The sequence below is a fragment of the Homo sapiens genome, chromosome 11 (assembly GCF_000001405.40).
Source record: "Homo sapiens chromosome 11, GRCh38.p14 Primary Assembly".
In the NCBI taxonomy this organism is placed as follows: Eukaryota; Metazoa; Chordata; class Mammalia; order Primates; family Hominidae; genus Homo; species Homo sapiens.
Window position 1 is genome coordinate 25,922,448 of NC_000011.10, and position 11,721 is coordinate 25,934,168.

General features: G+C 35.9%; 1 long non-coding RNA gene across 1 annotated transcript in view; it reads left to right on the plus strand.

Annotated features, from left to right (window-relative positions):
• LINC02699 (long intergenic non-protein coding RNA 2699) overlaps positions 1-2,004 on the plus strand; it is a 470,852-nt gene extending 468,848 nt beyond the window's left edge. Inside the window, exon 5 of the long non-coding RNA NR_183694.1 lies at positions 1,804-2,004. This is a non-coding gene — a long non-coding RNA (long intergenic non-protein coding RNA 2699). The remainder of the gene's footprint in view (positions 1-1,803) is intronic.
• The last annotated feature ends 9,717 nt before the right edge of the window (positions 2,005-11,721 follow it).

Below are 11,721 nucleotides of genomic sequence, written 5' to 3' on the forward strand. Positions count from 1 at the left end.
TTCCACTAGATACCTTAAATCATCTCTCTCAAGTTCAAAGTTCCACAAATCTCTAGGGCAGGGGCAAAATACCACCAGTCTCTTTGCTAAAACATGACAAGAGTCACCTTTCTTCCAATTCCCAACAAGTTCCTCATCTCTACCTGAGACCACCTCAACCTGGACCTTATTGTTTATATCACTACCAGCATTTTTGTCAAAGCCATTCAACAAGTCTCTATGAAGTTCCAAACTTTCCCACATTTTCCTGTCTTCTTCTTCGCCCCCCAAACTGTTCCATCCTCTGCCTGTTACCTAGTTCCAAAGTCGCTTCCACATTTTTGGGTATCTTTTCTGCAACACGCCACTCTACTGGTACCAATTGACTGTATTAGTCCATTTTTACACTGCTGATAAAGATATGCCCAAGAAGGGGCAATTTACAAAAGGAAGAAGTTTAATTGGACTTACAGTTCCATATGGCTAGGGAAGCCTCACATTCATGGCAGAAGGCAAGAAAGAGCAAGTCAGGTCTTACCTGGATAGCAGCAGGCAAAGAGAGAGAGCTTGTTCAGGGGAACTCCTCCTTTTAAAACCATCAGATCTCATGAGACTTATTCACTATCACAAGAAAAGCATGGGAAAGACTTGCCCCCATGATTCAATTACCTCCCACTGGATCCCTCCCAAATCACATGGGAATTCAAGATGAGATTTGGGTTGGGACATAGCCAAACCATATCAATCTGAATCTAATTGAATAAATCTCAATGATATTTTTTAAATATCCACAATCTTTTTGAGAACAAAATATACTGGGAGAAGTAATACCACTCAAATGGAAAAGGGAAGAAGTAGAGAAATATAAAACAAGACTTCGTATCACTGAACTTCCATTTACACAAACAAAAAATAATTATCTATCTTCATGTTCTATTTCCTATGGAGGATAGTAAGATAAGTCAAAGGACAAAGACAAGAGATATGAAGAATTAACTCCAGGCAACAATATGAGCTTGAATCACAGAAGTGACAACACATGCTAGCTGGATCAGAAATGTTCTGGACCAGTAACAATTTTATGTGTCATTTTTTCCTCATCTTAAATAAGCCAAGGTGCATTTAAGTTTATTGAATACCTGTCTAATTACTGTTGGCTGAATGTGCGGGCATATAAAGTGTTTCTTTTTTTAAACAATTTCAACTTTTAGATACAGGGAGTACATGTGTGGGTTTGTTATCATGGATAACATCACGGAGATATTCCATGATGCTGAGGTGTGGGGTTCGGATCCCATCACCCAGGTAGTGAGCATAGTATCCAATAGGTTGTTCTTCAACCCACACACCCCTCCCTCCCTTCCCCCTCTGGTAGTCTGCTTTGTCTATTGGTCTCATCTTTATGGCCATGTGTGCTCAATGTTTAGCTCCCTCTTTTTTTTTTTTTTTTTTTTTTTTTTTTTAAGAGGGAGTCTCTCACTCTGTCACCCAGGCTGGAGTGCAGTGGTGTGATCTCGACTGACTGCAACCTCCACCTCCTGGGATAAAGTGGTTCTCCTGCCTCAGCCTCCCAGGTAGCTGGGATTACAGGCATGCACTATCACGCCTGGCTAATTTTTGTATTTTTAGTACAGACAGGGTTTCACCATGTTGGTCAGGGTGGTCTTGAACTCCTGACCTCAAGTGATCCACCCATCTCGGCCTCCCAAAGCGCTGGGATTACAGGCGTGAGCCACTGCGCCTAGCCTAGCTCCTTCTTATAAGTGAGAACGTTCAGTATTTGACTTTTGGTTCCTGAATTAAATGTATTTCTTTAATTCACAGGTCTTCAGATTGAGAGGAGCAGAACATGAGGTACTGAACTCAAGAGGTCTCACGTGCACTTGGACCTGATTTACATGACAAGGTTCTGGCCTGATTCAGTAACATGATACAATCTTATGTGGGGTATTGGGAGGTTGAGTATGTATTTTTCATGGGGAAGAATGTAAATAATCCATGGAATAAAAAATATGACTTTTAAAATGTGGCCTCAGAATCCTTTGCACTCCTCTCATTAAGAAGTAAGGTCTATGAGTTTCCCTTTGAATTTGAGTGGGCTTTTGACTTCTTCATTCAATACTGCAAGTTTCAAGTGATGTTATGTGACTTCTAAATCTAGATTATAAAAGGTCTTGCAGATTTTGCATAATTTTTTTAAATTACACAAAAATCATTTTTGCATAATTCTCCTTCCTGGAGCTTTCATTCTTGTACATTCCCTCCCAGAATCTAGCCACCATGCTGCGAGAATTCCAAGCCTCACAGAGAGGGCCCGTGTAGGTTCAAAGTACTAGAGTCCCAGTTGAGACTGTCCTTGAGCCACCACACCCCGAAAAGCAGACTGTGGGTAGAGTTAATATTGGAAATGTTTTCTCCAGTCTTAGTTGTCCCAGCCCCCGGCTTCTAGAGGTATCTCCAGCTGTTTAAGAGATCTCAACTGAGGTAGCAGATATGGTAAAGTTCTAAAATGCCACTCCTATTCTGTACACCCTAATTTCCAAATTCACATAATTTGTAACCATAATAAAGCAATTGCAATCATGTACTACTAAAATATAGGATATTTTAAACACAGCAACTTTAAAAGAAGTATTGACATATTTTGCTACATTGAAGTCATGCTCTCTGTAGCCAAGAGACTCTCTTTTCACTTCTTTTTAATTAAACTCATACTTCCTCCAACTCATACTTGTGAAATATCATTATTTATGAGTATTGAGCAAAACATTATTCAAAACTACATATACAGCATTTATTCCTTTAAATGGTCCATGTCTTTTTGAAAACCTTCTTAGCTAGACCTTCCCTGTTTTCTAGTTAAATTCCTGCTAATCTAACCTAAACTATCAGCAACATCTCAAGGATAACTATGGAGGAAATGTTCCACCTCTTGAAATAAACAAGGATAAAAGAAAATTCATCTTTGGCATTTTTAACTCACTGTAAAATTAAGTATATGGAGAAGGTACAAATGCATATCTACCTGTACACATGGTTATTACTGGCAAAATTTGCAAAACAGAACTCTGTCCTTATTGCTCTTTTATGTCGTAAACCGCCAGTATAAAACCAAAGTCTTCTCTCCATATAGTATTTATACACTCTGATTCTGTGCAGGTCTGTAATACCTCATAAACAGTTGTGTAATACAGATTAGCTTATCATTTCCTAGAAGTACACACACACACAAAAAGTATATAAAACATTAAACACATTGTGTGAAATTGGCAGATTAGGAGACATTATACTAGATCATTCCATAAAAATAATAATTTATTTCCTTTGTTCTATGAAAATATAAACTTCTTGCTATAGACACTGGATCTTTATGTTTCCCCAAAATCCATATGTTGAAATCTAATCCTCCATGCAAGAGTATTAGGGAGTGGAGACTTTGGGAGATGATTAGGTTATGAGGATGGAGTCCCTATGAATGCAATAAGTGCCCTCATAAAAAAGAAAGCTCCTCTGTTCCTTTTCTCCATTTGAGGACACAGAAGGAGAATGCCATCTATTAATTAAGAGGCAGGGTTTCACCAGACGCCAAATATAAGCACCTTAATCTTGGACTTCTTAACATTTAGAACTGTGAGAAATAAATTTCTGTTGTTTATAAGCCCTCAAGTCTATGGCATTATGTTTTAGCCACTTAAATGGACTAAGACTCTTCTCAGATCATTCTTCATAATGGAGAACCTATAACAAAAAAACTATGGTTGCAATCTTATTACCATAAATTTTCTATAGAGTTCAAGACCTCTCATTATATCACCTGTATACAACAATATACCAATCTGTTGAAGGAAAAAGCCAGTACTCAGTGACATATGTAATTGATGTGACTATATTCGACCACTGGACCAAAGAATTTCTAAGAGATTTAGTATTTAGTAAGGCAATCTGCCAAACCACTGAGATGGTTCCAGTAGTGATATAGGTGATATATAAAAATTAAAACCCACTCACCCTTACTGGCAATAACACAGATGCTGGAATCAGATGACTGATGTTTTCTGTCTTGCCTGGAGCTGTTTATGTTCTGCCTTATTTGTTAAAAGCCAGAAGCATCTCTGAGAACAATCAGATGTTCACGTCTTCTACAGAAATTTAATGACCATTGTGTCAATTTCTTCACAGTTCTCCCCCATTGGCATGCTGATAAATGAGAGTCTGAAGCTTTGACATAAAAACCTAAACTCTACCTGTGTACAGAACAGAAACAGAATGAGAGCGAAAAAACAACTATACTGAAAGCAAATTGAAGAGAATTGTGAACTTTCTTCTGAATGCATATATTTTGCTCGACAAGTTTAGCTTCCATAAAAATCTGAAATCTAGAATGTCTGTCCTATTATTTATTCATAAGCTTGTAACTTTATGGGAGATATTTCCCCATTATTCTTTACGAACACTTGATATTCTTTTCATTAGAGAAGATATTTTACCTGCTTCATTCTCAAGCAATGCCTTCACTAAACACTAAGCACTTCAAAGAAGTTGCCTGTGTGTAATAAAGCAATGTGCTAATCTTGACAGATCACCCTGCTTATTTCTCTGCAGTAAGTGTTTAGTTATAAAGGAGAATTGTATCTATACAACATTTATCAAAGCACAGATTCAGGAGGAAAGAGCCAGGGCTAATTCCACCTTAAACATCGAACAATACACAGCACCCACTCATTGTTCTTTTATCACCTGGAAATTCCTTACTATGTTAATTTGCTTATTTTTTGGAATGCTTTCTACTTGCTAGATGCTGTTTTTCCATTGTGATAGCACAGTAAACAAAAGAGACTTACAAAGCTTGAAGAGAAGATGGGACTACAGAAATAAGACAGATAAATTTAAAAGTGCCAATTAGTTAGTTCCAACTTGGATAAATCCTATAAAGAAGTAGAAGCAGCAGCAAGATTATACAATAAATTCTCCTTCTAGCATTGAAGATCAAGGGGTCTTCAAAGAGGACATGAAATTTATTAATCTATGACAAGCCCATTAGCTGAGGAAGAGTGCTTCAGGCAGGGAAAAAAAAACATGTGTTAAGACCTTGAGGTAGGAAGAAGCTTGGAAGCAGAAATAATACTGTTGTGATTGGATTAATAGAGAATTCAGGGTGGGCGGGGGCCTGTGAAGCAGTGTTAAAGGTTTTGGCCTTTAGAAGAAAAGCCATAGGAAATTCCTGAAAGCCTCTAAAGAGAGAATCAGTGGTGTAGAAAATGTATTGGAGAAGAATACCAACAGGGACAGGAAACATGTAAGGAGGCTATTGCAAAAACCACAGACGAGATGATAGTGGCTTAGCCTGCCTGCAGTGATAGCAATGTGAAAGAAAAACACATTCAAGACGTGTAGAACTAAAACTGACAGAATATATTTGATTAGATATGGGGATGCAAGAGAAGATATCAAAGACAACTTAAGGTTTCTTAGCTTGTGTGATCATTGCTGTTAAGAATCACTTATTTATACCTTTGTGAAAGTAAAATCAGATTGTCAAATAAGATTCACAAGAATCAAATATTTTTACTTAGTATTAAAGTTTACTGTAACTAAAAGATGAAAGCAACAATTAAAATAGGGAAAAGTCTAGTCCTCTAATGATAGCTCCCTGTCTTCGTTTTTTTTTAACATTACAAAGTATATTGTCCATATTAAAAATGTTCAGTCTCTAATAAAAGTATATTTTCAACAAAAGTAAGCAATGGCTGTGAGTTCATAGAGTCCAGATTTATTTACCATAAGCAATCCTGGACAGATCATGAATAGCCTGCTAAAAGCATTCCAAATAAGGAACTCTCCCAGTAGTAAACATCCTTAGTGTTTTGTCATATCTATTATTAGCATGTTTATGAGGAGATCTGACCGGGTTACTTTTCTTTTCTGACCTTCTCCCAGATATAAGAAAAAACAGTTTGTAATCTCTTTGCTATTCTTGTCCTTCCCACTGGGCATAGAAATTCATAAAAGTACTCATTTTACTTTTTTATTAAAAAATATACTGGGAAAAATAAACACATTTTCTTCAAAATTTCTAGAAAGAAAAGTAAATGTTTGAACACATGAATTAACTTTAAGTAGCCATTTCAAGAATCAAGAATCTCCTATTTACTTGTGCTACGAAAAAGAGTAGTTATTTTCAAATTTAAATAAAAACACTTATGAAATGAGAATATATTAACTGAATTATTGGGAAAAAAACATGAAAAATAGCAAAAAGCAGAGGAGCAATCTTATTCTGATATACCAAAGACTACAATAGAGTATTTTATGCTAATTGTGTAAATTGAAAAAGTACATGCAAAAAAGCGTACGTTCTACAAACCATTTGAAATGCCTACTGAGAGGGAATTGTGAAGAACCAATAATTTCTATATTCCAACTAGTATACCTTCAAACTATATGGCCTTACAATTTTTTAGACCAATATACCCACCCACAAATCTATAGGGACAAAAGTGAATTACAGGCTATTTACAAGTTTCTCTAAGCCATATAATTTGTACAGTGTTAAGTTTGCCAAGGCTTTGGAAGACCCAAGTGATGCTTAAACCAGCAGTCCAGGTTCCTCTCACAAATACCTTCAAATATCACAACCCTTTATCCATCCCCAATATCAGTAATGGAAGCCTCTAGGGTGCTAAGGAGATGAAGCCTTTTAAGAAAAAAGATTCCTGTCTTCTTTACAGAAGAAAGCAAAGTTTTACTTTTGTATCCCGTATTACCCTAGATTAATCTCCCAGCATCAACTCCCATTAAATTAACAGACGCATATATACACTCCTTCTTTCCAGTGTGGTCTACTTTCCCACTAAAAGCAAGATCCATATGAAAGACTAATACTTTTGCCTGCTTAGTTTATTTGAAGTTGTTTGGCAGTAATCAGGTTATAATTGTGATAGTCATTACTCTCATTAATCCCTTACCACACAGGATTCTGGATTTTCCATAAACATAAACAATGTGAACAAAATGTCATTTTCCTTTAGAGTTTTACTTTGCAATAGTACAATTCATACAACAAATGTTAATGGTTATAATCACTAATATTCACAGTCGTTGAGTAAGAAGCAAGAACAAGTATGAGCTGGAAAAGCGTGAAAATTAAAAACTTCTCACTAGACCTTGAGGGAATTTCTCTTTCGATGTGAAGAATTCCCAGCACGGAATAGAAACACATTTTGAATGTGACTCACTCAATAACATAATTAATCTTCACTTAATAAAATCTCAGGGACTCTCCTCTCTCCCCACCTTCTCTCTTCCAGAGTTTTGTAAAACACTTTATAAAAATCCACCACGGAAACTGTTGCCATTTGTCGGGGATGTAGAAAGGAAGGAGGAGAGTCACTCTCACCTTTGCAATGAAAAATTGGACCATACATGCAGGACTTTTTAAACATTCTTTAGAGAGTTGAGGTCAGAGCAAACAACTGCCTGAAAAGCCAAAGATCAACAGCGCCTTGAGAGAAAGAGAAAACATAAACAGGTATCACCTGGGGTAGACCTGAAGCGGCAGCTACAACTAGAGCTCCTTACAATTGCTGACAATTTGTGAAGGGTGAGTATGGGCTGTCAGGACAGTTTAAAAGCCCTTAGGGCCACAGTCATTGGGAGAATTTGCACCATCTTATAGAGAAACCTTACTCCTGAGGGAGAGGCAAAATTAATACTGAGAAAACAACTGCAGCCGGAGTAAAGCCAGGAAATCCTCAAAGGCTACAATCCCAAGAACAGGGGCATGGTTTATGATTGAGGCTGAAACTTGCTCAAATAGCAAAGCCTTAACCTCCTTCAATTACTACTTACTATCAAGATAACAACTTTAAATAACAAGTAATAGCAGAATCCTGAAGTGACAGAGGGGAGAGGAAAAGACCATCTAAAGAAAACGTATCTGAAGCGTAAGACAAAAGTAAGACCTAAGATTCAGAAGCAAACAAACATAGTTCTGGCAAACCACAGTTTTAGGTCAATGCCATCCTCTCTTAATCTAACTCTAGGAAAAATACAGTAATCATCATTAAAACAAGGACTAAACATGTTTTTCCTGTTAAGCAAGCAAACAAAAACAATTAAAATGCTTACCCCTGGCTACAGTAAAACACAAATGTGCACGCTCTTTCTCTTTCCCTCTCTCTCTCTATTCTGATGCTGGTGTGAAAATAAACTCATATGCAAACATTAGAAACTAATTTTTAAAAAGAGATAAAGTTTCATAAATATGTTTATGATCTAATAATTTTATTGAGATATTTTCTCTCTGAAGTAATCTTCAATAAAAAATAACTTTGCACTCAAAAGTGTTTATTATAGTGATTTATATAACCAAAGCAAAAAATTTAAAGAAATTAATGGTGAAACAAAAAATGTTTTGACTAGTTATAATGATACAATAGTAGGATGAAATATTTTGTAGCCAAAAATGTAATGACTATTAACATTTAATGATATGAAAATGCTCATTCTAAAAGTATATAATACAAAAAAATAAATATTATTATAAACATGGAATATATGTTTATATATCTATTCACATAAATATGAAAATAAACATCTAAAGCTATTAATATGATTGTTTAAGAAGTGGGATTACAGATAATAGTAGGCAGAAAGCCCTGCTTTTCATTTTTTATGGCAATTCCTGAGATTATCAGGCATCAATTCTGATAGCTATGATTACAAGTTCACAATTATGCATCCTTTAAGTACTAAATATCAGGTTTCTGAACACCCGGGGACGAGACACATGTATAGATGCTATAGAAGTCATGTGGGAGCTCTGCTTAGCATGAACTCATCAAAAGGCACAGGAATTACCCTTTTCTGACAATATCTACTCTCAACATTTGCTTTTTGATCACTCATTAAACACCAAAAATCACAGAAAATAAATCTTCTTGATGTATATAATGTAGGGAATTGAGAAGGCAAGAAAGACACAAGAGACAGGGACTAGAAGAAAATGCATCAATCTGTTAATGATGTAATAACAGGTATCTCTGGGTGGTAGCTTATTTTCTTGCTTTTAGTATTTTCTAAATTTGCAGCAATCCATATATATTCATTATGATCATAAATTCAGCAAATAGTTTAATAATAGTAAACTATTGGTATTAGTTTGTTAGGGTTACCAAAACAAAATACCACAGACTGGGTGGCTTAAACAACCAAAATTTATTTTTTCACAGTTGCAAAGACTGGAAATCCCACATCAAGATGTCAGCAGGTTTGTTTCTTCTTTAGCTTCTCTCCTTGGCTTGTAGATGGTCATCTTCTCCTCTTTATCATCACATGATCTTCCCTCTGTGCATGTCTGTGTCCTAAGCTCCTCTTCTTCTGAGGACACCAGTCATATTGGCCTAGGACCCACACATATGACCTCATTTAACCTTAATTCTCTCTTTAAAAAGAATATCTCCAACTATAGTCACTTTCTGAGGTACTGGGGGTTAGGACTTCAACATTTAAATTTGGGGGGGTGTTCCCCTACATGTGGCCCATTAACACCATTACAGTTATTTGTTCTCCAGTTAGTAGACCTCATATTCATCTTGTCCTTATGCTCTCTAACTTCGCTCTCTTCCATCCCTTTTCCCCACTGAACAGAGGAGGATTAGAATGCTTAAATGGAGCAAATGTTTCAGAATGTGTAAAATGATTGTACCATATCAATACCCAATAATGATTTGAATATTATCTCACTCCAAAGAGTATATTATTTCCATCCTGAAAAATGCTTGTTTTTATAGCATCATACTTCTTAGAAAAAGTCAGCCCATGAGGAGTAGATCTGGAAGTGAAATATGGGCTTCATACCTGATATGATTTGGCTCTGTGTCCCCACCCAAATCTCATCTTGTAGCTTTCATAATTTCCACATGTTGTGGGAGGGACCAAGTGGGAGATAACTGATTCATGGGGCCAGGTCTTTCCTGTGCTGTTCTCATGACAGTGAATAAGTCTCATGGGATCTGATGGTTTTAAAAACTGGAGTTTCCCTGCACAAGTTCTCTCTCCTGCCGCTGCCATGTAAGACATGCCTTTCACCTCCCACCACCACTGTGAGCCACATGGAACTGTAAGTCCATTAAACTTCTTTCTTTTGTAAATTGCACAGTCTTGGGTATGTCTTTATCAGCAGCATGAAAATGGACTAATACAGCACCAGACAGCCATGGGTTAAAATTTCTGGCCCACCCCTTACTTTATGTATGACCTTAGAGAAACTACTTAACTGCTTTGGATTTCAGTTTTATGACCAATAAAAATCACAATAACATTATTTAGCTTTTATTATTTTTATACAATTATATAAGCAGAACGAAGTGTTAGACATTTAATAGCATAACAGTTCAGCCCATTTTCTCCCTCTTTTCTTCCCTTCCCTCTCTATACCCCCTTCTTTTTTTTTTTTTTGACATTTCAACTATATTTGAAATAACATAAACTAGTACCCTCTCCATCTATTTCTTTCAATTTTTAGTGGGAATAGGACTGGTCTATCACTTCCCCAAAAGAAATGTCTAGCTTTAAAGTAACAACTTATCATTACAGAGTTGGCCTATAGAAGGATGCACAAATTCTTACATATTCCTAAATGTAATGTTTCATCTGAAACAATACCTAGAAATATAGGCTCCTTCTATATCCTTTGCCAAATTGAAACCCAAATTCAATTTACTAAAGAAAACTTTCAGATCCCACTTTTCCTCATTCATATAAGATAAACAATGTAATTTTACTTTGTAAAGCATGAATATAAATATAATGAGGTATACTGAATGATTATACAGAGAAATTGCATTCTGTCATAAAAGAAGCAAACAGTTAAAATACTTAAGCTTGAGAATTGTGCAAAAGAGTGCAATTAGTAAGTAGTAGGCACAGTTCTTCAAACCATTTCCATCATCTCATTTACTTAAAAATTCAACTTCATGAGCAAACTACCAGTCTCTGAAAATTCAAATAATGAAATATGTGGTTTGATCAGGAAAGCATACACAAATTCAGCCACTTTAATATGCAGCTCATCCATTCAATTATACAAAAGACCTAAAGAGGAGCTCAGCATGTCTGTAAATTATGAAATGAGATGAACCACAAATGCATCTTTATTGAAATGATTACACATCCTCTCCCTTACATGCAAATCTCCACCAACACCACTGGAATAATCAGTGTATTTCTGTTCTTTTGACAATAAATGGCCATCTGCCAAAATATGATAATATTACATAACACATGCAAGGAAACAACACAATTGCAGACTAGTTACATGCTGTTAATTACTTATCTCTGCATTAAAACAACACATGACAACAGGTGGCAGAGAAGCAAGTGGAAATCATACTATCTTCTCTCCAATAATCAGTAGGACTCCTATTTAGTGGAGAGAAAACAGGCTTTGGAGTCATGATTAACTTAAATCACAATGCCACCACATACTAGCTGCGATAGTGTAGTAAATTAAGGTCCATCAAGTTTCCTGGACTGTGCTATTTTATAAAAGAGTAAATTAGGCAGTAAATTACATAAATCTTGACTGTAAACATTAAATTTTGATGTTAAAACAAACCAACAAACAGAACAACTACTATATGTTTACACTATTTTTGGAAAGGGCATTTTAACATACAAAATATTGGAAAGGTCCAATTTAATAATAAATGAGCATTCTTCAAAGAGAGGAAGAGATGGGAT